Source organism: Homo sapiens, chromosome 20, assembly GCF_000001405.40.
Source record: "Homo sapiens chromosome 20, GRCh38.p14 Primary Assembly".
Taxonomy (NCBI): Eukaryota; Metazoa; Chordata; class Mammalia; order Primates; family Hominidae; genus Homo; species Homo sapiens.
In genome coordinates this window covers 45,292,360-45,317,862 of record NC_000020.11, presented here as the reverse complement: position 1 = coordinate 45,317,862, position 25,503 = coordinate 45,292,360, and the positions used below count along the sequence as shown (strand labels likewise).

The 25,503-nt window shown below is 52.1% G+C and overlaps 2 protein-coding genes across 13 annotated transcripts, besides 2 other annotated features; one reads left to right on the top strand and one right to left on the bottom strand.

The window, feature by feature from the left end:
* Positions 1–38: 38 nt before the first annotated feature.
* RBPJL (recombination signal binding protein for immunoglobulin kappa J region like) lies at positions 39–11,023 on the bottom strand. 4 transcript variants are annotated; one of them, NM_001281448.2, is made up of 12 exons: positions 10,919–11,023; positions 9,612–9,720; positions 8,171–8,296; positions 6,204–6,274; positions 5,909–6,024; positions 5,468–5,642; positions 4,258–4,395; positions 3,719–3,828; positions 3,298–3,450; positions 1,521–1,676; positions 1,273–1,386; positions 39–1,177 (listed from the first exon to the last, which is right to left on the bottom strand). In NM_001281448.2, the coding sequence occupies exons 1-12, from the start codon at positions 10,938–10,940 to the stop codon at positions 1,052–1,054; spliced, it is 1,416 nt and encodes a 471-aa protein (NP_001268377.1). In that variant the 5' UTR covers positions 10,941–11,023; the 3' UTR covers positions 39–1,051. The 4 variants fall into 4 exon arrangements, with proteins under 4 accessions (NP_001268377.1, NP_055091.2, NP_001268378.1 ...); NM_014276.4 differs by having other exon boundaries at positions 1,283–1,386; NM_001281449.2 differs by having other exon boundaries at positions 39–1,174; positions 1,283–1,386.
* Positions 6,191–6,240: a silencer, noted in NCBI's record as "silent region_12956". NCBI's record gives its function as "represses an Ori minimal core promoter by ATAC-STARR-seq in GM12878 lymphoblastoid cells {active_cell/tissue: GM12878}" and the evidence as "EXISTENCE:reporter gene assay evidence [ECO:0000049][PMID:35858748]".
* Positions 9,179–24,413, top strand: MATN4 (matrilin 4). 9 transcript variants are annotated; one of them, NM_003833.5, is made up of 11 exons: positions 9,334–9,421; positions 9,566–9,688; positions 12,247–12,353; positions 13,066–13,635; positions 16,420–16,542; positions 16,639–16,761; positions 16,854–16,976; positions 19,280–19,693; positions 19,793–19,945; positions 23,848–23,955; positions 24,038–24,413. In NM_003833.5, the coding sequence occupies exons 3-11, from the start codon at positions 12,281–12,283 to the stop codon at positions 24,094–24,096; spliced, it is 1,746 nt and encodes a 581-aa protein (NP_003824.2). In that variant the 5' UTR covers positions 9,334–9,421; positions 9,566–9,688; positions 12,247–12,280; the 3' UTR covers positions 24,097–24,413. The 9 variants fall into 9 exon arrangements, with proteins under 9 accessions (XP_016883602.1, XP_047296532.1, NP_003824.2 ...); XM_017028113.2 differs by having other exon boundaries at positions 9,179–9,421; positions 23,848–24,413; NM_001393530.1 differs by lacking the exon at positions 9,334–9,421 and having other exon boundaries at positions 9,564–9,688.
* Positions 23,976–24,035: a silencer, noted in NCBI's record as "silent region_12955". NCBI's record gives its function as "represses an Ori minimal core promoter by ATAC-STARR-seq in GM12878 lymphoblastoid cells {active_cell/tissue: GM12878}" and the evidence as "EXISTENCE:reporter gene assay evidence [ECO:0000049][PMID:35858748]".

Sequence of the window (25,503 nt, the reverse complement as noted above, 5' to 3'; positions counted from 1 at the left end):
ACACTTGGGGAGGTGGCTCATACAGACCAAACTCTGCCTTGGATAGGATTGATTTTAATGCAGCTGTAGAATCCCTGATCCTCAGGACTGCGTCCTGCTGGGCCTGTGGGAGAAGTGACTGGGGGGGACAGTTAAGGCGGCAAGACCTCATCACTGTCCAGGCACCTGCCCAGCCACCAAATCTGTGGACCAGGGAGCAAACACAGGCAAAGGTACTATGCCTGGCTGCAGTCAGAGAGAGTCTCGGGAGGAGCAGGTCTTTGTGCTCTAGGGCAGGACACAGTGCTCTAGGTGGGAACTGGTGCCCCAGGTGGGACCGAATTCCCCAGGTGAGACTTAGAGAGACCCGGTGCTCCAGGTGGATCTAATATTCCAGGAAGGACCTGGTGCTCCAGGGTCCTGATGCCCCAAGAGCTTGCCCCCTATGCCTGGATGTGTGAAGCTGTGTGTTTTCTCTTCAAGAGGGGACACAGATGCCTGGAGGGTAAATGTCCCAAACTTGGCTCCTCGGGGCATGTAAAATTGTGTGTGAGAGGCAGGGAGAGCTGAAGAGAGAAAAGGACAGAAGGATAGGGACACGCACATAGGTCTGTAGACTAAGTACTGAGGGGGAAGGGAGAGAGAGAGAGGTTTAGAGACAGAGTGAGAAGAAATGAAGACAGGGAGAGCCATACACGACGGACACAAAGACAGCACCACTCAGGTCTTGTCTTCCTGTATGTGTAAGGACAAGGGAGGGAGTGAGCCGGGTAAGACCCACCAGGCCCGGTTTCTAGGGTGAGCCTTCAGCTGCCCTTCTGCAGCAAAGGGGCAAGGAAGCAGGGCCTAGAACCCAGAAACACGTCCCCGCGCCTGGCGCGGGCGCAGCCCTCCAGGGTGGGCAGCCGGGGCTACCGGGCGCGCCTAAGTCTGGATGAAGAGGTGGAAGTTGGTGCGCGTGAACTCCTGATGGATGCTCTCCAGGAGCGCGTCGGCGTCGGTGGCGGGCTCGGGGACGCCGGGGTGACCCGGCCGCACGCTGTATTCCGGGGTGTAGGTGAAGGAGAAGGCACTAGGGTAGAAGAGCCCGTCGGCGCGCACCAGGCTCATGGGGATTGTGATGGGAGCGCGCAGCCAGCGCCAGTCGCTGCAGAAGGCCGCCACGTCCGGCACCACGCACACCAGGGACCGCGGGCTCCTGGGGGTGGAGCACCAGGGTGAGGGCTGCGGCGACTCCGACGACGCGTGCACCCCCTTCCCCTGCTCCCCGGGGCCCAAGAGAGGCTGCCTCACCACCCCGTACCTGTACATGGTTTCTGCCTCCACGTCCCCAAACCACACCTTGAGCCCCGCGTGGAAGTTCTCTCCGTGGAGCTCCAGCGTGGCCACGTCGCCCCCGCCGCTCAGCTGGGGGAGGGTGGGACCAGGTGAGGTGAGAGAACCAAGTAGGGCGGGAACCCGCTGCCCCCCACTCACTAGCACCACCACTGCCCAGTGCAGGCAGGGTCCCCCTGCCCAACGCCCCTAGCGCCCGGCTTCACCTCTAGGGTGCTGATGAGAGGCACCGGAGTGACCGGCTCCAGGGTACACGCCAGGCTGGTGCTGAAGGAAAATTCCACCGACTCGGTGCCGATGATGGTCCAGCAAGAGCTGTCGTTAAGCAGAGCCCTGTTCGCCTCCTTGGGGCAGGGAGAGGCCTGGGAGGAGACCCAAGGGGACGAGGCCGAAGCTTCTCATGGTGGCCACCAGTGTAGGGAGCCAGCATGGCGCGTGGGCTTCTGCGTTAGACCGAACTGGATACTAATCCTAGGCTCTGGGGTTCACTTGTCCCCTCAGCTTGGACAGTGCCCTTAAGTTCTCTCACTTAGCGTTAAGAAAGCTTGTTGAGCTAGCTGATTTCTTCTTTCTTCTTTCTTCTTTCTTTTTTCTTTATTTTCCTTCCTTCCTTCCTTTTCTTTTTCTTTCCCTTTCTCTCTCTTTTTTCCTTTCTTTCTTTTTCTTTCTTTCCTTCCTTCCTTTTCTTTCTTTCCCTTTCTCTTTTTCTTTTCTTTCTCTTTCTTTTCTTTCTTTCTTTCTTTTTCTTTCTCTCTCTCTCTTTCTCTCTTCTTCCTTCCTTCCTTCCTTTCTTCCTTTTTTTTTTTTTGAGACTGAATCTCGCTCTGTCGCCCAGGCTGGAGTGCAATGGCCTGATCTTGGCTCATTGCAACCTCCGCCTCCCGGGTTCAAATGATTCTCCTGCCTCAGGCGCCCGGGTAGCTGGGATTACAGGTGCCAGCCACCACGCCCAAATAATTTTTTTGTATTTTTAGTAGAGACAGGGTTTCACCATGTTGGCCAGGCTGGTCTCAAACTCCTGGCCTCGTGATCCTCCTGCCTCAGCCTCCCAAAGTATTGTGACTACAGGCATGAGCCATTGGCCCGGCCTGGGATAGCTGATTTCTAAGGGTCTTTTTTCTTGGGATTCCAGAATTTTTTTTTTTTTAACATTGTGCAATTCTATGCTCTAATAATCTACAATTTTAATATTCTTTGGGAAGGAATATTCTTGGGGAAGGAATAATACTTGCTATTTTCCACATATTATAATTCTATCTCGTAACATTCTATGATAATATTCTTTTGGGAGTACTACTGCTTAACGATAATTATTATTTTCCACATTCTATAATTTTCCACATTCTGTGTCTTTATCTGTGCTTCGAATAGTCTTTGCTCATTAATTCTCTGCTCTCTATTACCTATCATGATTTTTATTTACATCCTACAATTTTATATCCCAATTTATTTACTTACTTTTTTTGAGATGGAGTCTTGCTCTTGTCACCCAGGCTGGAGTGCAATGGTGTGATCCTGGCTCACTGCAACCTCCACCTCTCAGGTTCAAGCAATTCTCCTGCCTCAGCCTCCTGAGTAGCTGAGATTACAGGCGCCCACTGCCATGCCCAGCTAATTTTTGTATTTTTAGTAGAGATGGGATTTCACCATGTTGGCCAGTCTAGTCTCGAACTCCTGACCTCAGGTGTTCTGCCCACCTCAGCCTCGCAAAGTGCTGGGATTACAGGCATGAGCCACCGCACCTGGCTATATCCCAATATTTTATGACTCTAAAATTCTTTGGGAAGGAATATTGCTTCATACTATTACTTATTACTATTTTTCTACATCCTATGATTCTGTCCTGGGAGTCTATGATTTTAATGTTCCATGGGAGGCTGCTCAGGAAGTAGCAACCATGGTGAGGGTGATGATCTTACATTCTGTGGTTCTCTGCATTCTCCCTTTCCAGGACACTTGGTGCTGGTATTCTCTGCTTCTTACCTGAAATTGCACCACCTTCTCTGTGGCAAGGCATAAGTAGGTGCCACCCCCTCCTGGGGGACTGCCTGGAAACTGGAATGCACACTTGTGCAGCTGGGAGATGGGCTCATCCACATCAAGGAGCGCACACTGTTTTGCTACTTTACGGATGATCTGCAATGGAAGGATGGTAAGAACAGTGGTGGCAAGGAGCCCGGGCGTCCAGAGGCTGCCCTCCTAGCCGGCTGTCTGCTACTCCAATAGCCACACAGGCACTAGCAGATTCCCCCTGCCCTTTGACTTCTGTCTGGTCCTACGCGACACTGGGTGAGAACAGGTGTCTCCATGCCTTGGGGCCTCACTCTCCAGCCCTGCCCGTGTGTGCCACATTCTCTGCATGGATCTGAGGGGACCCCTCCAGGCATGCCCTCCCTTCCTATACCATGGGAGGTAGTGTGATGCCGGTGACCGTGCAGACGAGCTGCACCAGGGAGCCATAGCGAACGTAGCCCTCTCGCGGTGGGAAGTCTCCTTGGGCAGAGTGCCCATCAGCTGGGGGACAAAAAAAGCAAGGGACAAGGTTTTCAGCGGCCCCCAAGCTTCTGCCTTAAACCCTGCCTTGTTGCCTCTGGCTCTTCCTCACATCACACATGGGCCCTGCGGGAAAGCTTGGTACTCAGGGGAGCCAACTGAAGGTTCTAATTCTGGAGAGGCCATTTGAGGCCATCCTCACAAATGTCTGCCCTGGGGGCAGGGGTTGGGGGCAGGCAGCTTAGTTGATATATGGGGAAAGGGCATGGATAAGGGAGTCAGAATAGCTTGGAACAGTCACCAGCTCACTGGGACTGTAGTCAAGTCTTTTTGTGTTTCTGAGCCTTAATCACATGGGGCAGAGTTTACCTTCCTTAAGGAGTTGTGGTGGAGGTTAAATAAGCTAATGCATGTGAAGTGCCCAGCTCCAGGGCCTGCAGATGTCATTACCCAGGTGGAGCGTGAAGGCAGCCCACTGTCGTGCACTGGCCACAAAGGCCCCATCCTCCACAGAGAGGTAGCGTGTGGAGACCGTCTGAGAGCGCAGGCGGTTGAAGAGGGAGACCTTTGAGCCGGAGGATATGCACACTGTGAGGGTGAGGGTCAGGGTTAGGGTGAGGGTGAGGGTCAGGGTTAGGGTGAGGGGATAGGGTTAGGGTTAGGATTGGGGTTAGGGTTAGGGTGAGGGTTAGGGTGAGGGTGAGGGTTAGGATTAGGGTGAGGGTTAGAGTGAGGGTGAGGGTAAGGATTAGGATTAGGGTGAGGGTTAGGGTGAGGGAGGGGGTCAGGGTGAGGGTTAAGGTTAGTTGGTGCTATCAGTGCCCTGTCCTGGCTTGGTTCCTTGGACTTTCCAGACAGTTTCCAATCTTCTGTCCCTGTGCCGGCCTGGCTAATGTGCCCACAGGCCTAGATACACTGGGCATTCCCAGTTCACAGCTGTTTTTCCAGGACCTGCTGCAGTCCTGCTTTGGAACCTTTGCCTGTTCCTTTGCTGTCTGGACATCTTTCAGTTCAACAAACAAAAGTAAAACTTTTTTTTTTTTTTTTTGAGATAGCATCTCACCCTGTCACCCAGGCTGGACTGCCGTGGTGCTATCACAGCTCACTGCAGCCTCGACCTCTTGGGTTCAAGTGATCTTCTGATCTCAGCCTCCCACGTAGCTGGGACAACAAGTGCAGGCCACCATGCCAGGCTAATTTTTCTTTTTCTTTTTTTTTTTTTTTTTTTGGTACAGACAAGATTTCGCCATGTTGCCCTAGCTAGTCTTGAACTTCTGGGATCAACTGATCCGCCCACCTTGGCCTCCCAAATTGTTGGGATTACAGGCATGAGCCACCGTGCCCCACCTATGTCACTTTTAGTCTGTCCCTAGTTCAACTCCTGCCTAGTTCAACTTTTGTCTGCTCTGGGACCCCAACTCCCAACCTGGAATTTGGTATCTGTCCCTTTCCTCTCTGCTTTTCATCCTCCAACTCTTCTCATCCCCAGGCCTGGGCCGCACCCACTCATCCAGACTCCTTCCCCTCTCGGCTCCGACTCCACCTTTTCCACTCTGACCCCTAAGCCCAGCCTACCCCCACCTCCGCGCCCCAGTTTAGCCGTTCTGGGCTTGGTTGCACCTCCCCGCCCGGGCCGGGGGTCAGGCCCCGCCCTGCTCACGATCGGTGTTTTTCAGCGACTGCTTCTTCTGCGAGGGCTTCGAGATGACCTTGATAAGGCGGCTGTGGAAGGTACCCAGCTCCCGGCCCCCGCGCAGCACCAGCCGCAGCACCAGCCGAAAGTGCTTCCTCTTGTCTGCATCTGAGATGTACAGGGTCTTGGCGCAGCCGAATTCCTAGGGGGCTCACAGGTACAGGGCCATCTCATCCCAGCCCTCCCCCGTCGGATGAACCAACCTCTCCCAGATATCGGACGTCCGCCCCGTCGGAGGTGACCAGAAGCTCCACCATCCAGGCTCTCAGGCTCGGCCTTAAGGCAGGACCCCGGCCTCCCGGTCTCCCCACCTATCTCTTGGCTTTCGGAGGGGAGTAAAGGAGCCCTCCTTTCCCAGGAGAGGCAGGGATGGGAGCAGGAATCGGACCCCTTCCCGTGCGCTCTCACCCTGGAGTCCGGCTGCTGCTCGAAATTCAGCTTCTGCGTCTCAGTGGCGCTGCCGGACGCGCTGTCCAGTCCCATGTAACCGCAGACCGTGGGCCCCGTTTCCCCCGCCTGGTGAGCTGGAAAGGGACGCGAACTGGCTCTGCAAGGACTCGGGAGGACGCAGGTGCCAGGCAAGCTTAGCGCTCGCCGCCAGAGGGCGCGGGGAGACTGCGCCTGCGAACCGCCCCGTCTCGGGCCCAATCTCGTGGTCCTCCCTACAGAGCAGGCGGCCGGCAGCCCTTGATTCCGCCCTCACCTTGATCCTGCCCTGGCTTCACCCTCCAGCCAGGCCCCGAGAGGTAGACACAGGGCGGGGGGCAGAAGAACCTGCGGAGATAAGTGAGTGTTGGAGTCGTGCATCCATCTCCACTTGGCTCTCCTGTAAGCACGGCAAGGTAGTAGCATAAACCCAGCAGAACCTTCGTTTCCTCCTCCCGCTCCCCGCAACGCTTTTTCACGACTGTAAACCCCATTCATAGCCAAACCTTATTGTTTTTACACCCCTCATTCAACTCATCAGAAGGTCCTGTCCACTCCACCTTCAAAATATAATATATCCAGAATCCACTGGCTTTTTACCACCTCGCCCTTCATCCCAGCCGCCATTACTTTTTGCCTGGACCACAGCATCAGCCTTCAAACTGGTCTATTTCCAGAAAGTTCTGTTTCTATCTCCTTCCCATTTCGCACAGCAGCCAGAGTGCTCCTTCCTTCCTTCCTTCCTCTCTCTTTCTTTCTTTTTTTCTTTCATTCCTTCCTTCCTGTTTCTTTCTTTTTCTTTTTCTTTTTTTTTTTTTTTGAGGCAGGGTCTTGCTCTGTTGCCCAGGCTGGAATGCAGTAACTTGATCTCGGCTGTCTGGGCTCACTGCAACTTCTGCCTCCCCAACTGATCCTCCCACCTCGGCCTCCTGAGTAGGTGAGACTACAGACACAAGCCACCACACCCATCTAATTTTTGTGTTTTTTGTACAGACATGGTTTTGTCATGTTGCCCATGCAGGTCTGGAACTTCTGGGCTCAAGCAATCTGCCCACCTGGGTCTGCCGAAGTGCTGGGATTACAGGGATGAGCCACCAGGCTGGCCAGAGTGTTTTGTTAAAAACATGAGTCAAATCATGTTAACTCCTTAAAATCCTCCACTGGTTTAAAATTCAAAGTCCTCCTGAGATCTGACCCCTGCTTACCTCTCTGACTTGTTTCCTACAACTCCTCCCTCTGATTTCAGCCACTGTCATTTCTTTTGTACCTCAAACAGGCCTAATTGGTACAGCCTCAAGGTCTTCCCATTTTCTGTTGCCCTTTTTTTTTTTGAGACTGAGTCTTGCTCTGTCGCCAGGCTGGAGTGCAGTGGCATGATCTCGGCTCACTGCAACCTCCGCCTCCCGGGTTCAACCAATTATCCTGCCTCAGCCTCCTGAGCAGCTGGGATTACAGGTGCCCGCCACCATGCCCAGCTAATTTTGTATTTTTTGGTAGAGAGGGGGTTTCACTGTATTGGCCAGGCTGGTCTCGAACTCCTGACCTCAGGTGATCCGCCCGCCTCGGCCTCCCAAAGTGCTGGGATTACAGGTGTGAGCCATCGCGCCCGGCCCTTCTGTTCCTTCTAATTGTAGCACGCTTTCCCCAGATATTCTCCTGTCTGGCTCCATTTCAGCATTCAAGTTTCAGTTCCAATGTTACCTCCCAAAAGGTCTCTCAACCTCCTTGACCTTTCTAGCTAATGTCCCCCCTGCCTTCAGTTTCCGTCAAATGGCCTCGTTCAGTTTTCCTTCTAGTGCTCATCATAATCTGCAAGTATCTTGTTTCCTGACTTGTGGGGAGTTTACTGTCTGTCTCTTCCACACTTGAGTGAGAGTGTGGGCTACAGAGCAGGGGCTGTTTCTGTCTTGTTCAGCTGTATGCCCAGTGCCCAGCAGTACCCACAGAGCCTGGTGCATACATGACAAACACTCAGTAAGTAGTTGTTGAATGAATGAATAAGTGAATCAATGGGAGAATGAGTGAATGAATGGAGACAGGAGATTCACAGGGAATCTCCTGCTGTAGAACTATAGACCAAAGTGGGGGCTAATGGTGGCTGAGGGTCAAGGCCCTGGTCGACCAATAGCTGAGATCTCAGCCCTGAGGCCTGCTCTGCGTCTAAAAGAGGCCCAATGGGTGGATGGAGGAGGTGCATAGGGCTGACAGTTGCAGAGACCTGGGAGGGGCTGCGGAGGCACCTACCGCTTCTCATTTCCGTATGATTTCTGGGCCACCTTGGCATGCAGGATCCGCACAGTCTGTTCACACTGTTGCTGCAGGCACCTGCGCACGCCTCCCCTCAGAATGGTGGTGTGCTCTGGGGATGACCTGGGAGTAGGGCAGGCAGGTCGACCAGCCACAGGAGGGAGAAGGGTCAAGGTGGCACAGGGTCCAAGCACTCAGGTTGAGTAAAATGAAGTGAGCAGGGGGTTAGAGTGAGTGGGAGGGTGGGGCTGCTCTATATCCTGCCCCTGTGGGGTCAGGAAGAGGAAGCATTAGGTAAGGAGGAGACTTGGCTGCAAATTGTAGGCTAAATATTTAGGCTGCAAGGTGCTCAACGAAGCCTGCATGGAACCCATGGGACCACCCAGGTTCCACTCTGTGGGTCTGGCATCATGCCCATTGGAGCCCAGGGCCATAGGGACACGTGGCTGTGACACAAAGGCTGCACTTATACTGGCCTTGGGATGGAGAAGAGTATTTTAGGGCTGATGGAATTGGTAGAGATGAAGCTTCCCCACCCTGGGGAAGGCAGGGTGGGGGGTGAGGAGGGAGGGGAAGGGAGAGCCTTTCCTGGGCTCCTGGCCTGGAGCGCTCTCTAGCCTCCTGCCTGCAAACAGAAAAGGGCCCAAAACCTTGTCCTCAGGATGGGGGATGGCCTGGGGGAATCTGAGCCTTTCTGGGGCCAAAGCCATATTCTTCCCTTTCTCCCATGAGAAGTGGCCTGTTGCTGTGTGGGCTTTCCTACCCTTGATTACAGGAGTCAAGGCAGATGACATTGGTCCTGCAGAGTGAGCCAGGTTAGAGCCTAGAGGTCTGGTGGCTTCTTAACCTGGGGGTCTTGAGCGGTGTGGGTGGGTAGGCCCGAGCAATTGCAGGGAGCAAGTAGAGGAGGGGAGGTGGGAGAGATTTGGGGGGTTAGCAGGTTGAGGCCCAAGGAGAGCCATGAAAACTGAGGCTGTCCTTCTGAGCCCTTATTCCTCTTGGCAGGACCAGAGTCTCTCCTCACTCCTGGAGGGGACAGCGCAAGACCGCACCCTCGAAAGCCAGGCCAGACAGGCAGCAGCCACAGCCAGGACCGCTCCACCCCTTGGGGCTCTCCTCAGGGAAGTGCCTTCTAAGCTTCCAATGAATTCCGGCTGTGGAGTGTGGCTGCCCCGGTCTCCCCAGTCTCCCGCTGTAGCTGAATTCCAGCCTGGCCCGCAGCTAGCCCTGTCTGCAGCTCCAAGCGTGGTAGGAGCAGGGGGTGCTGGGTTTGCCCCCCCTCAGGAGGAAGGGGGGATCCCTCCCTGCCAGTGGGAGGGGTTGCAGCCTGCACTTCCCCTCCCCACCCGCCAGCCCTGGGTTAAATGCGGCCGTTGCCTCTGTGTGCTCCAGCTGCCTGGCAGTCCCCACCTAGGGCACGCTGCCACGCCGCCGTTACCTGGTCCAAGTGCCCGGGAGGCTCCGCCTGTCGGCTTCGCTCTGCAGCTGCATCTCTGATCTGTCCTGCAGGCTCAGGTGAGTCAAAGGATTGGGAGGCACTGAGGGGTCTGCAGGGGAGTAGGCATCAAGCCAGGTCAGGCGAGTGTATTTTAGCAGAGACGCTGCCTAGGGTGCCCTATCTGATTTGCAGTGCCCTTCCCCACTTCTGCAGGGTCCTTTCCAAATCGAGCCCCCACCCTCAAAGCCATCAAAATAGGATCATCCCTTTTCTACTCTCATCCCTCCAGGAACCCCCTGAAATGTCCCTAAGGGACTTTTGAGAATTTATTTACAGGCCTCTCCTCCCTTGCTGCTCCACTCCCTCAACCTCACCTCAGGGCATCTCTGAATCTTTCTTTTTTTAATGCAAGGATTAACTCCTCAGAGGAATCCCAGGTTCTAGTATCAGTCCTGCCACGACATCGCCATGTACCCTTCAGCAAGACACTACCCTCTCTGGACCTAGTTCCTTTCTTTGTAGAATGAGGGGTTTGGAAAGGTGATGAACTTTGAGGCATTTGCTATTTTGACTTTCTAGGATTCCTGGGGTGGAGGCAGGGTGCCAGGTGAGAAGTTGGCTCAGACCAAGAATGGGATGAGGGGAACCTTAACCAAGATTTAGGGGCCCAGAGGCATCTCCGGGTAGGAAAGTATGGGAGGTGGCAGAGGCCCCTTGTGCCTTAGCCCTCATGCTGTCCAGGGATGTTGGCTTTGCCTGTGGCCCAAGCTTGACAAGGGTTCCCCGCCCTCCCACTTCCACCAGCGCTGCCACATCTTGCTTGGTCACCCTCCCACGACGGGCCCTGCCAGAGGATTTATGTTCTTCTACCAGGCCTGGGAGGGGAAAAGGGAGAAGAATCCGGGATGAGAAGGTCGCCTGGAGTGAGAAGCAGGCACTGGCCTCGCTCAGAATAGGCGCATTCACGGAATTGGGGGGCGGGGGCGGAGCTGCTGTTGGGTTAGGGGCAGCTGGCCCTCTCTGCCAAGAAACAGCAACAGAAAAATGGCTAACACAGCTTCAGCATGGGGCGCGGCGGTGGGGTAGGAGCTGGAAGGAAATGAGGTTTAGTGAATTCTAGGCGCCAGGGGGCCTCAAGAGAGAGAAGGGGAACCAGGAGCCCTAGGTTCTAATCCTGCTTTTGCAGTTCGGCGGGCTGCCTCCTTGGGGCTTAGTTTTCCTATTTGTATAGTGGGGAGGGGGTGGGGGGGTGGTCCTTCGTAGTTCTCACGGGGCGTCTCCGGGGCCTCGGGAGGGTAAGCGCTCACCTGCTGCCCCTGCGGGGTCCATGGTGGCTCCACGGGGCCCCAGCCGCTCACCCGCCGCCCTCTGGACGAGTCCAGTGCTGCTGTCGCTGGAACCCTGCACACCCCTGCTCCTCGGCTCTTGCGCGGGTTATATCCTGTCCAGGCCTTATCTCCAAGGCCCCGGGCCCCGGCCCCCTGTTTGCTCGGGGTGGGCGCACCTGCTGGGCAGATGTGGGCTTCCCACGCCCCCTGCCATCTCGGGCGCCCCCTGGCGGTCGCTCCTGAGAGCAGGCGGGAAACAGGCGCCAAGCCGCGCGTTCTCGTGCGCAGTGGGTTTTGGTCCACTCGCTGCCACGCCACCACGCTCAGCCCCGCAACAGGGCGCAGCCCCTCCCTGCCGCCTGCGGTTGGGCAGTGCATGTCTGTGTTTGTGTGTGTGGAGGGGTCTGGGGGGGTTGGCGAGTTGCAAAGACAGCCACACAGAAGCCTGTGTGCGTAGGGGAGTGGGCCGAGGTGGGGAAGGGCTTCTGTCTGCAGAGGTTCGCCTGGCAGGAGGAGAGGCACCAAACGCCCAGGCTGGCTCACAGAAACTAGCAGGCGTGGGATTGTATCCTGCCGCAGCCACTTTTTGGCCGAATGACTTTGGGTACCAGCGCTTAACTTTTCTGAGCCTCAATTTCATTGTCTGTATGATGGGGGACAATCACAGCCTTAGTCTTACAATTGCAGAGAGGATTAAATGCCACAATGCGTGAAGAGCATTTAACACTGTGCCTGACATTTAAGGAAGACCTGTTTTTTTCTGTTTAAATTTTGCATATTTGTATCTATGTATCTATTCTTATTTACCATTCTCTTGTGGGCCGAGCGCGGTGGCTCACGCCTGTAATCCCAGCATTCTGGGAGGCCGAGGTGGGAGGATCACCTGAGGTCAGGAGTTTGAGACCAGCCTGACCAACATGGCAAAACCCGCTCTCTACTAAAAATACAAAAAATTAGCCAGGTGTGGTGGCAGGAGCCTGTAATCCCAGCTACTCGGGAGGCTGAGGCCGGAGAATCGCTTGAACCTGGGAGGCAGAGGTTGCAGTGAGCCGAGATCATGCCACTGCACTCCAGCCGGGACGACAGAGCAAGACTCTATCTAAAAAAAAAAAAAAAAAGAATCTCTTGTGTTTCCCAGCAATCCCACTGTGATGAGAATTTTTTAATTCTGAAACATTTCAAACATACACAAAAATAGAGAGATTAGTAAAATAAACCTGTAACTGTCTTCCCCCTCCAAGTGCCTATCACCCAGAATAAGAGCTCTGTAAATACTGTTGCTTTTCTATTTTCCTTCCTCCCTCCAGGCTCTGACACCTCCATTCTCTGTCCCCAAGCGCCATGAGAGGCCTTCTTTGCTGGCCCGTGTTGCTGCTCCTTCTTCAGCCCTGGGAAACCCAGCTCCAGTTGACAGGTGAACTGGGGCCCAGCCCTCACCAGTGGGAGGAGGGGAGCGGAAGCAGGTCCTCCCTCTGCAGCCAGCTCCTCCTGCTGGGGAGAGGGAAGCAAGGGCTTTGGAACATATGGGACTGGGTTTAAGTTCCCCACTTCACCTTTCTGGGCCTCAGTTTCTTCATCTGTAGGATGTGGCTTAGTTTTGGGCGCATGCAGAACTGCCCATGGGGTGTTTAATTTGGAAAAATTATTTGAAAACATGGAAAAAAACCAGGAAATTTTACATAAAAATCCCTGTTTAGTATTTCTCTTGAAAAACCAGGGATCTGCTGACATCCAATTCGCAGGGGCATGGCCTCATTTGGATGCAGCTACCTGCCCAATTTAGGAGTGATAGGGGCTCTTTGGGTCTCCAGCGTCCTAACCCAACCAGTTCATCCATGTTCCCTGCCTGGTCCCTGCAGGCTTTGAGTTTGCGACGCTTCCTTGCCCCCTCGTCAATGGGTAATACCGCCTCAGAATAGCCCTCAGATCTGTAAGATGAGGGAATTTGTGAAATCTCCTAGCCCAGGTGCTAGGCACATGCCGGGCGAGTGCATCTGTCTAATCTGCGTTTGCTGTGCTGGGCGCTGTTATGTCGGCATAGCGGCATTTCCCCTGGGTTTCCTAGGGGGTCTCCTCGGAGGTGAGGCTTTGCTGACCTAGGAGAGTCCTCCCTGATCTCCCCGCAGGTCCCAGGTGTCACACTGGGCCCCTGGATCTGGTGTTCGTGATTGACAGCTCCCGCAGCGTGCGCCCTTTCGAGTTCGAGACCATGCGGCAGTTCCTCATGGGCCTCCTCCGAGGCCTGAACGTGGGTCCCAACGCCACGCGCGTTGGCGTGATCCAGTATTCGAGTCAAGTGCAGAGCGTCTTCCCTCTCCGCGCGTTCTCTCGCCGCGAGGACATGGAGCGCGCCATCCGCGACCTGGTGCCTCTGGCGCAAGGCACCATGACGGGACTGGCAATCCAGTACGCCATGAACGTGGCCTTCAGTGTGGCCGAGGGCGCGCGACCGCCAGAGGAGCGCGTGCCGCGTGTCGCTGTCATCGTGACAGACGGGCGGCCCCAGGACCGCGTGGCCGAGGTGGCGGCACAGGCGCGCGCCCGCGGCATTGAAATTTACGCGGTGGGGGTGCAGCGCGCGGACGTGGGCTCCCTGCGCGCCATGGCATCGCCCCCGCTAGACGAGCACGTCTTCCTCGTAGAGTCCTTCGACCTCATCCAGGAGTTCGGCCTGCAGTTCCAGAGCCGGCTGTGTGGTGAGTTAGGAGGGCGCTGGAGTGAAGCTCGAACTCTCAATCCAAATGCTTGGATTCCTTTCCCACCACAGTAAATCCCATCCCGTGGGGGTGGCCCCGCGATTTCCAGGTAGAGTTGCCCTGACCTACCGCAGGCTGTGTCAGATTTCAGCTCTGACCACTTCTGCTCAGCCTCCATCAACAAGGAGCAACCTATAATTTCTTGCCCTACCCGCCACAGCTTACCACAGGCTTAATGTCAAATTCCAGCACCAACCCCCTGCACACACGGAACCAGTGATTCTCAAAGCTAAGAGGGATCGGCTGCTCCAAAGAGTCGTGGCCCTCCCACATGGGGATGACTTCTCCCATTATCATCTTAGCTCCTCCCACAAATGCTGCAAGATCTGTTCTGATCTGTTTTGAGTTTATTCCGCCCACCTCGACTTAGCACCTCTCCACCTTCCTACCCACTCCTGCCCCTGTGTAGTCCTGTCCCAGCCCACTGACGTGTCTAATTGAGTGTCTCCTCTTCTGAGCCTACTCACAGGGGCTCCTTAAGCCTTATTCTTTCCCTAAGCCCTCTCACTTGGTACGGCCCTTCTCAAATTAGTCATTTCCTTCTGAAAGCCATTTGAGGGTGATGCCTGCCTCTGACCCCATCCCCATCCAGCTCTCTCTTGTTGGAGGCTTCTGCCCATCTGTTCCCTACTGATTCTAGTCCTGTGTGTCCTCAGGGAAGGACCAGTGTGCTGAGGGGGGACATGGTTGCCAGCACCAATGTGTCAATGCCTGGGCCATGTTCCACTGCACCTGCAACCCAGGCTACAAGCTAGCAGCAGATAACAAGAGCTGTTTGGATGACAGCTATCCCTGTCCTGCAATCTCACTGCTCCTGAACCTTCTTTGGCTCTCCATTGCCCCAACATCAGACCAATGAGTCTGGAAGGGCCTTTGGCAGTAAAAGCACACCTCCATCACTTTACAGGCCTAAGAAAGAAAGGTATTGCCTGGGGTCACATAAGTCCCTGGTGGGAGCCCACAGTTCAGTGTGCTTTCTGCCCTCTTTCTCCCTGTTTTCAGGCCAGTCTCTAATCAACCTCCCAAACTTGTTTCTGTTTTCTTCTTTTCTTTTCTCTCTCTCTTTTTTTTTTTTTTTTTTTTTTGAGACAGAGTCTGGCTCTATTGCCCAAGCTGGAGTGCAATGGTGCGATCTTAGCTCACTGCAACCTCCGCCTCCCGGGTTCAAGTGATTCTTGTGTGTCAGCCTCCCAAGTAGCTGGGATTACAGGTGCTGGCCACCACACCCAGCTATTTTTTGTATTTTTAGTGGAGATGGGGTTTCACCATGTTGGCTAGGCTGGTCTCGAACTCCTGACCTCAAGTGATCTGCCCGCCTTGGCCTCCCAAAGCGCTGGGATTACAGGCGTGAGCCACTGCGCCCGGCCATTTCTGTCTTCTTACAGGCACATCCTTACAGTTTCTCTTCTTAGATACTGTTGGGGGGTCTTCAATTAGGTGGGTGTCCCCCCTCATGCCACCCATTCTTGACTCTGCACCTCAGCTCTTTGTGTGCTGCTCACCTGAGCTGCCCTTGCCACTCCCCTCTGCCTTTGCAAATCTTTCAAGACTCTCTCTTTTTAAGAGATAGGGCCTTGCTATGTTGCCCAGGCTGGTCTCACACTCCTGGGCTCAAGAGATCCTCCCGCCTTGGCCTCTCAAAGTGCTGGGATTACAGGTGTGAGCTGCTTCTTCATTTTTGTCTTCTGAAAAGCTATGGCATAGAATACCTCGCTTATTCAATTCAGTTTTTTACTGAGTACCAAGTTAGTATTAGACATTGTGCTAGGAGCATTACACATGTTATTATCTCTCAGCCTCACAACAACCTGGAAAAAGAAATCATGTAATCCCAATAACCCAGATGTCAGCTGGGGTCTTCTTGTTTCTAGAAACTAAAAGTTGGCTTGAACTCTGATTTGATGACTGTTTAACATTCAAATCTCTCTCCAAGACCTCTGGAAATCCCCCAAGTGCTTATCTTCTGGTTGTCACCTCTTGCTGTGAGCCTCTGCTAAATTCATTTGATTTATGGATCCTCTCTCATTTCTCAACCCTGCACATGCTGTTCTTGTTCCATGCATGTTAATCAACCTCTTCGTTGGTTTACACACTTGTGTATGCAGGGGCATACACAAGCGTGTATGTGCTAAGTAACTCATAGCGCGTGCACACACACACGAAAAACTCATTATAATTGAATATTAGACAGCTTTGTTTCTGAAAGTCCTCAGTCAGCCTAGTACAAGGGATTTTTCACAGGCAGCCTCAACCCACAGAGTTACTCATCTTCATACTGGCTCTCTTGTTCTTTTTTTTTTTTTTCTTTCCTCTCTCCACTCTCATCTCCTTTCCAGGAACCCCAAATACTCACTTTTTTATACAGGGTAATTATCTTCTCTCCAGTCCAGCTCTCGGCCATCTTTGCCTATCCAGATCATCAAGATGCTCAACAGGGCAATAGTTCCCCATCTTCCATGGAAGGAAGCTGTGAATAGCAATCACTGTCTTCCATTATATTCCCATTTTGCAAATAGAAAAATGGAGGCTCAAATAGGTAAAGTGGCCAAACCTGTCCTCTGTAAGTCAGAGAGCATCTTGAGGACAGGGGCCCTGACTAATTAGGTCAGGATTTTTGGGGTTGGGGCCCAGGCGTAGGTATTCTTTAAAATTTCCTTAGGTGGTTGTGCTACCAGAGCTGAGAAGGGCAGTCCTGGGCATAGACTGACCCCATTTCTTCCTCAGCCATTGATCTGTGTGCTGAAGGGACCCATGGATGTGAGCACCACTGCGTCAATTCCCCAGGCTCCTATTTCTGTCACTGCCAAGTTGGCTTTGTACTCCAGCAGGACCAGAGGAGCTGCAGGGGTGAGCAACACCCCCACCCTCCCACCACACCCTGGACTGTGGCCTCCGAGGGCTCCAATCAGAGGCAACATCTTGCTGTTTCTTCCCTCCTGCCAGCCATTGACTACTGCAGCTTTGGGAACCATAGCTGTCAGCATGAGTGTGTTAGCACCCCTGGTGGGCCACGGTGCCACTGCAGAGAGGGCCATGACTTGCAGCCTGATGGGAGGAGCTGTCAGGGTGAGGAGGGCTCTCCTACATTTGTGGGAGGGGTAAGAGATCTTAGCTGGTGGGGTCCATCCTGACTCATCCTGACCTGTCTCTCCTTTCAGTCCGGGACCTTTGCAATGGCGTGGACCATGGCTGTGAGTTCCAGTGTGTGAGCGAGGGCCTCTCCTACCGCTGCCTGTGCCCCGAGGGGCGGCAACTTCAGGCAGATGGCAAGAGCTGCAACCGTGAGTGATGGGCGGGAGGGTGTTCTGTTGGCTTCTGCCCCATTGCCCACATTTGGAGTGTCCTTGACTTTGCCATTGCTGTGGCCCCTAGGCTGTGGTGTGAATGTCTGTGTGTGTTGTGGGGGTGACATTGGAGGGTGTGCCATTCCCTCCTTCCATCTCTTTCCTACAATCCTCTACTCTGCTGTCAATGTTAATTTAAAAATACATATTTGATCACATTCCTCCTTTGTGCACAAGCCTTCTGTGGCTCACCAATGACTACAGGAGAAAGATCAAATGACTTACCCCTAAGTATTTCAAATGGTGAGCAGAACCACATTAATGAATAATGAAATCAAATTACTGGGTTACAACCAACATTAAAAAAAAAAGAGTGGAAGACAATATAGAGTTTACTGCCTGTAGAAAGAGTTATATTATTTCTGAAATTTTAGTTCTGTGTGAAATGTCTCATGATGTATTGTCATTATTATTATTTTTACTGTGGGCTGTGATAAAAATTTTGAAACCACTGCCTTAGGTCATCACGATCTAGCTTCAGCCAACTCCATCTGCCCATCTCCTGCCACACTTGAACATTTCAGTCTTACTGGCCTGCCCCTCCCCGGATGTGTCAGGATCTCCCCAGATCCCAAGCCTCTGCACGTGCTGCATCTCACCTTCTAGACTGTCCCTTACTGCCTTGGCAAACTCCTACTGATCTTTCAAGACTGTCTTAGATCATTCAGGCTGCTATATCAAAGTACTGTAGACTAGACATTTAGTTTTCACAATTCTGGAGGCTGAGGAGTCCAAGACCAAGGTGCCAGCAGATATGGTGTCTAAAGAAGGCCTGTTTTCTGATTCTTAGATGGCACACCTTTCAAAGCCTCCCCACGCCAACACACACACACACACACACACCCCTACACACACACACCCACACACACCAATTTTCTTGCTGTGTCCTCACATGGTGAAGACAGGAAGCAAGCCCTCTTCGACTTTTTTTTTTTTTTTTTTTTTTGAGACTAAGTCTCCCTCTGTTTCTCGGGCTGGAGTGCAGTGGCGCGATGTCGGCTCACTGCAACCTCTGCCTCTGGGGCTCAACTGATTCTCCTGTTACAGCCTCTGGAGTAGCTGAGACTACAGGTGTGCCCCACCATGCTTGGCTAATTTTTGTATTTTTAGTGGAGATGGGGTTTTGCCATCTCAGCCAGGCTGGTCTCGAACTCCTAACCTCAAGTGATCTGCCCGCCTCAGCCTCCCAAAGTGCTGGGAGCCACCATGCCTGACCTCTTCAGACTCTTACAAGGACAGTAATTTTACTCATAAGCGCTGTACCCTCATGTCCTCATCTAATCCTAATTAACCTCCAAAGATCTCACCTCCGGAGACTATCACATAAAGGCGTAGGGTTTCAATAAATGAATTTTGGGAAACACACTCATTCAGTTCATAACAAAGATCAGATAGAAGGCCATCATCTCCATGCAGCCTTCCTTAACAACTCCAGGAAGAATACACTATTCCTACCTTGGGATCCCTGCATGATCTTCTCTTCTAGCACTTTCCTTGACCAGAGCACATAGCATGTCTGACTTGCTCTGCTCTGTCCTCATGGAACAGGATTATGTTTTAATTATTTCAAAACCTTTGAAAACCTCCCCACGCCAACACACACCACATTTTGGGCCTAGCAACTTTCCTGGCTCAGAATAGGGGAGGTGACATTGTAGAGTCATTCAGGAGCATGGGTTTTGGAGTCAGATGGACCTGGCTTCATGTCTTGGCTCAGTCAGTACTAGCTATGAAATCTGGGGCAATCACTTTATCCATCAGAACCTCAGGTCATAGAAAATGGGGACAATATTCAAGCTTATTGGGAGGATTGAGAATATATATAAGCACTTCACCCAGTACCTACCACATGGTAAGCTGTCGGTAAATAATGTTTTTGTTATTATTATTGTTAATACTGGTAGAGTGCTTAGAAGTGTGCCTGATACATAGTAGATGATCAATAAATGGTAGTTATTGTGGTCATTACTATGATTGTTGTTAAAAAAAGATGCTTTTAGCAGAGTGGTTTGTTCTAAGCACTGAATAAATGTCAAGGGCGATGATGAGGGTGATGATGATGGTGATGGTGATGATGATGGTGATAATTATTATTACTTAGCACACTGCCTGGCACAGGAAGGACTCAGGAAATGTTGTCTGTTATATAATAAATGTTTGCGAATGAACGACTAGATGGATAGACAGCTGCTGCCAGTCCAGAATCTGGTCCCTCAATTCAAGCTTTTCTGGCTGTGCAGGGTGCCGGGAAGGCCACGTGGACCTTGTTCTGCTGGTTGATGGCTCCAAGAGCGTGCGTCCACAAAACTTCGAGCTAGTGAAGCGCTTCGTGAACCAGATTGTGGACTTCCTAGATGTGTCCCCCGAGGGCACGCGGGTGGGGCTGGTGCAGTTCTCGAGCCGCGTGCGCACCGAGTTCCCTCTGGGTCGCTACGGCACCGCAGCCGAGGTGAAGCAGGCGGTCCTGGCCGTGGAGTACATGGAACGCGGCACCATGACAGGGCTGGCGTTGCGGCACATGGTGGAGCACAGCTTCTCCGAGGCGCAGGGTGCACGGCCCCGTGCCCTTAACGTGCCTCGTGTTGGCCTGGTCTTCACGGATGGCCGCTCCCAGGATGACATCTCGGTGTGGGCAGCGCGCGCCAAGGAGGAAGGTGGGCTTGGCATGGGACACAGTGGGCTGGGGTTGGGTCAGACGCTGGGAGGCAGCTTTCCCGAGGCCTGGGGCACCCTCTGAGACCCCGGCCTTGCAGGCATCGTCATGTACGCCGTGGGCGTGGGCAAGGCGGTGGAGGCGGAGCTGCGCGAGATCGCCTCGGAGCCAGCGGAACTGCACGTGTCCTATGCCCCGGACTTCGGCACCATGACGCACCTGCTGGAGAACCTCAGAGGCAGCATCTGTCCAGGTGAGCGCATCTCTCTCGGGGCTCCTCCTCTCTCTCATTGCCCGTCCTCTGATATCTCCCCTTCCTATTCACTCCCTGCCCACTTTGTAGTTATAGCCAGAGGTTGGGCTCACTAGACAGAGCTTTGCTACTCCAAATGTGGTCTGCAGGCCAGCGGCAGGGCGGTCACCCGGTAGCTTCTTAGAACTGAAACATTTCTGGTGCTCTCCAGACCGAATGAATCAGAATTTCCACTTCGACAAGATTCTCAGGTGATTTGTAAGCATATTAAAGTCTAAGAAATCCTAGACTAGGCTACCTGTCCCCCAAATCAGTGGAGGTTCAGAATAATTTGGGAAATTTTTTTGAAGGCACACCAGACAGCATTTGTAAGTGGAGCCACAGCATATATCCCTGAACTTGTTAGAATTCAACCTTATGAACTTGGCAAAGTGGCAGGACTGAATATATTTTAAGTATGCAAAGACTTTTTTTTTTTTTATTGGGGACAACATACCTCATAAGTGCAATCCCTCTACTTCATCATCTGGTGCTCAGCTGAGGAAAAAGAGACTGACTCTACCTGTGAAGAAGGGGACTCTTGAATCGCATGCAGTGTACTGTGCTCTAGGTGATACAGGGAATGTCTCCAGGGTAACTTTTACCCTAGAGACTTTAGACACTAGCCCAGGCTTAAGATGTGACTCTTCTTCCCATTTATCAGACTGCAGCTCCAGAAACAGACTAAGTAGGGCTGGTTTGGGTCTGGAGAATTTGCCTTTTTTTTTTTTTAGATATATGTAGGGGGGCTGGGCGCAGTGGCTCACACCTGTAATCCCAGCACTCTGGGAGGCCGAGGCGGCTGGATCACTTGAGATCAGGAGTTCGAGACCATCCTTGGCAACATGGTGAAACCCTGTCTTTACCAAAAAATACAAAAATTAGCTGGGCAAGGTGGTGGGCACTGAGGCAGGAGAATTGCTTGAACCTGGGAGGTGGAGGTTGCAGTGAGCCGAGATTGCACTACTGCACTCCAGCCTGGTGACAGAGTGAGACCCTGTCTCAAAAAAAGTATATATAATATACTATATATACTATATTATATAATATGTGTTTGTGTATGCATGCACATGCACGTGCATGTATATACACATACAAATATACACATACAGTCCTTCCCCCAACTCTCCTTCCCTCCCCGCTCTCAGCCAATTCTAATTATTGTGGCTCTTTCAGATTAGGGGCTCTTTCAGAGCTCTTCCTATGTGACTCTTATGGGCCCTGCAGTGTGACTTTGGACGAGTCACTTACCCCACACCTACCTTAACTTTTCTCTTCGGTAACAGGAGAGGCACTGGCTGCCCAAGGTTACCTCTAGTTCTAGAGTTCTAAGAGAAGTCTGGGTTTTGTGGTTGAAGCTCTTTATCAATTGGTGGTATGACTGTTCCCTGTCTCCAACCCTTTGTTTAGAGAAACAAATCTGTGAAGTTAGGGGTCTTTGCTGGATTCCAGCAGTTTGTTCATAGTACATATAAGACTAAGATGAAGAGACAACTTTTAAATCATTATGGCAGTGTTTTCAAAGGTTAAATGGCAGGTATTGTGCTTATTATTTCACCACGTGTAATCCTTTTTCTTTTTTTTCCTAAGGTACTTTTATTGTAGCATTTTTTTTTTCTATGTCATTCCCTGTAATCTTTTTTTTTTTTTTTTTTTTTTTTTTTGAGATGGAGTCTCGCTCTGTCATCCAGGCTGGAGTGCAGTGGTGCGATCTCGGCTTACTGCAACCTCTGCCTGCCAGGTTCAAGCGATTCTCCTGCCTCAGCCTCTCGAGTAGCTGGGACAACAGGCGCATGCCACCACGCCCGGCTAATTTTTTCTAGTTTTAGTAGAGATGGGGTTTCACCGTGTTAGCCAGGATGGTCTTGATCTCCTGACCTCGTGATCCACCCGCCTCAGCCTCCCAAAGTGCTGGGATTACAGGTGTGAGCCACAGCACCTGGCCTCCCTGTAATCTTAACAATGGCACATGCTTATAGAATTTCAGTGAATCTAAGATACCATTCATTTTAAGATTCATCACTACCTTATGTACTGCTAAGAAAAAACATGTGCCAGTTTTAATTGTAAGGCCTCCTGCCCAACCCCCAAGATGTTGATGTGTGGGGAGATAGAGTTGGATCAGGATCAGTGGTTCCTAAAAATTAGGTCACACCAGAATCACCTGGTGGACCTTTAAAAACACAAATTGCAGCTGGGCATGATGGCTCATGGCTGTAATCCCAGCACTTTGGGAGGCCGAGGTGGGCAGATCACAAGGTCAGGGGATCGAGACCATCCTGGCTAACACAGTGAAACCCCGTCTCTACTAAAAATACAAAAAATTAGCAGGGCATGGTGGCACATGCCTGTAATCCCAGCTACTCGGGAGGCTGAGGCAGGAGAATCACTTGAACCCAGGAGGCAGAGGTTACAGTGAGCCAAGATTGCACCACTGCACTCCAGCCTGGGAGACAGAGCTCAAAAAACAAAACAAAAACAAACACAAATTGCTGGGCTTCAACTCTAGATTTTCTAATTCAGCAAGTCTGGGGTGTTGTCTGATAATTAGCATTTTTGATAAATTCCTACACGATGCCGATGCTGCTGGTCCAAGGACCACACTTTGAGAATCACTGGTCTAGTTGAAATACACTATAAAGCAGTGGTTTCCAACCTTTTTGGCACCAGGCAGTGGTTTTACGGAAGACAATATTTCCATGATGGTGGTGGGGAGAATGGTTTTGGGATGGTTCAAGCACATTACATTTATTGTGCACTTTATTTCTATTATTACATTGTAATATACAATGAAATAATTATACAACTCACCATAATGTATAATCAGTGGGAGCCCTCAGCTTGTTTTCCTGCAGCTAGATGGTGCCATCCGTGGGTGATGGGAGACAGTGACAGATCATCAGGCATTAGATTTTCATAAGAAGCCTGCAACCTAGATCCCTCACATGCACAGTTTACAATAGGGTTTGTGCTCCCATGAGAATCTAACAATGCCACTGATCTGACAGGAAAGGAGCTCAGGTTGTAATAGGAGCAATGAGGAGCAGCTATAAATACAGATGAAGCTCCCTTGCATGCTGGCTGCTCACCTCCTGCTGTGTGGCCCAGTTCCTAACAGGCCATGGGCTGGTACTGGTCCATGTAATGTGCTGGTACTGGTCCATGGCCTGGGGATTGGGGACCCCTGCTGTAAAGTATTTACTTGAACCAGGCAGTGTTCTAGATCTGTGCTTTTTCAAAAAGGTAGGCAGTACCTATTTAATTACAATTGATTAAAATAAAATACATTTTAGTCCTTTAGTAGCACCAGTCATATTTGAAGTGTTAAACAGCCACATGTGGCTTGTAGCTACTGCTTTGGACAGGGCAGATGTAGAACACTTTCATCATTGCATAAAATTTTATTTGGAGAGTGCTACACAAAGTGTGGTCCACAGACCAGGAGCATCAGCATCATTTGGGAGCTTATTAGAAATGTACCTTCTGAGCTTCTTCTCCATTCTGAAGCAGAATCTATATTTTAACAAGCTCTCCTGATGATTCCAATGAGCATTAAGGTTTGAGAAACAGTCTTGTAAGTTGTGCGTGAGCACACACACACACACACACGTACACAGGTGAATGAATCCTCGAAGCCACTAATGCGTACACTCTTTCATTATATCCATTTTATAGATGAGAAAACTGAGCTTAGAAAGGTTAGTGAGTTTTTCAGTATCTCACAGCTACTTAGCTTGGGACTCAGCCCAGGTCTCTCTAAATCCAAAGCCCATATACTCAACCATAGGCCCAGTGCAGGGAAATCAGAGGGCCAAAGCTAGGGCAATTTCTCATCCCCCTGACCCTCTGTGTCCGGCTTGCAGAGGAGGGCATCAGCGCAGGGACAGAGCTTCGGAGCCCATGCGAATGCGAAAGCCTCGTGGAGTTCCAGGGCCGCACGCTGGGGGCGCTCGAGAGCCTGACGCTGAACCATATCCTTTGGGGCTGGTGGCGCGGGCTGGAGGGAAAGTGAAGGGACCTCGGCGAACCCCAACGGCCTCCTTAACCGCTCACTGGCCCAGCTGACGGCGCGCCTGGAGGATCTGGAGAACCAGCTGGCCAACCAGAAGTGAGGGCCACGGACGGCCCAGACCCGGGCTGGGGCGCGGCACCACGGACGGTGCCCCTTGCGCGCCATCGGTGCGCCGGGGCCAGGCAGAACCTGGGCCCGTCCGGCTTGGGCTGTCGGGGCGGAGGCGCTGGCGGGCTTCCGGCATTGAGCTGAGTTGGCCTCGCCCGGACCATTAGGCGGACTGCGGCGTCAGGGGGATAGCGGGTGGTGAGGGAAGGGGCACGTGCTAGACCGGCACGCCCTCGCCGCGTGCTGCGCTCAGTTCTTTGTTGGATTTCTTGTTTGTGTTCTTAAAAAAATAAAAAAAACTGATTTCCACGGGGTCCGTTTTTGGGTCTTGCTGCGCCGCCTGGGGGAGGGGAAGCCAGACGGAGCGTGCTGTGGCGGCGCCCGGGCGGCGTCTCCTTGGAGAAAGGCGCATTGTGCGGGGGTCGGGCTCGGGGGCAGGAGACCCGGCGCTGCTTCCCCCTGCTTGTTTATTCAGCCGAGAACAGATGGCTCCTTATGCAGGCTGCGGGAAGGGAGGGGGCTCAACAGGAATCCTTGGGGTCTGAGTAAGTCTGCGCCACTCCATTCCCCAGCGGACTGAACGCTTCGCTCCCGGCCACGCCTATCCCATGATGCCCCCAAATCTGGCTCAAAAGCTGCTAGTACTGAGCGCTGGTAAGGGGTGCGGGGGTGGCGTTGGTGGGAAAGTGAGAGGCAGTAATTGAACCCCTAAATGGATGGGGTGGGAGTGGATAGATGAGCTTTGACCGATTTTAACTCTCTCCTGCACTAGGTAGGAAGAGAAGGAGGTATCAGCTAGGACCCCTGTCTGTCCAGCCTGTGGCCTTCCTTCTGTCATCTTATCAACCCCTCCCAAAACACCTCTATCAGCAAAGAACACAAACCAGTACCATTTCCCGAGTGCATGTAAGAAACAACGAAGTTTAAAATGCTTCCAGTCCTAGAGTGATTTGGGGAAAATTATTTTGTGTTTGTTTCCTCATCTGCAAAGTGGAGACTGGAATTGTTACCCCCAAGCGTGATGGGGAGAATCAAGGACATTCTTCTAAGGCATGTGCCTTGTACCTATCCCTCAATTAATGGTAGCTATTAACTGTTCTTATAGTAACAGCTAACATATTTAGTGTTGGGCATTATTGTAACTGATTTGCAGGTATTTTCATTTTATACTTGGAACCAGTGAAATAAGAATTATTGCCTTTATCATCCCCATTTTACAGATGAGGACACTGAGACACAGAAAGGTTAAGTTTCCAACAGTAACATAACCAGTACGAAGCTGAACCAGGATGTTTCCTATGGCTGCTCTAATAAGTTACCACAAATTGAGTGGCTAGCAACACACATTTATTACCTTACAGTTTTTAGGTCAGAAGTCTAAGATGTGTTGGCAAGGCTT

Bases quoted from the DNA above. Each gene is read 5' to 3' on its own strand.
- RBPJL (NM_014276.4), bottom strand. From the start codon at position 10,940: ATGGACCCCGCAGGGGCAGCAG. The intron at 3,451-3,718 runs GTATAGGAAGGG...CTTCCATTGCAG, and splicing joins GCATCACACTACCTCCCATG to ATCATCCGTAAAGTAGCAAA. The intron at 1,677-3,297 runs GTAAGAAGCAGA...GTCTCCTCCCAG, and splicing joins AGAAGGTGGTGCAATTTCAG to GCCTCTCCCTGCCCCAAGGA.
- MATN4 (NM_003833.5), top strand. From the start codon at position 12,281: ATGAGAGGCCTTCTTTGCTGGCCCGTGTTGCTGCTCCTTCTTCAGCCC. The intron at 16,762-16,853 runs GTGAGGAGGGCT...CTCTCCTTTCAG, and splicing joins TGATGGGAGGAGCTGTCAGG to TCCGGGACCTTTGCAATGGC. The intron at 19,946-23,847 runs GTGAGCGCATCT...TCCGGCTTGCAG, and splicing joins CAGAGGCAGCATCTGTCCAG to AGGAGGGCATCAGCGCAGGG.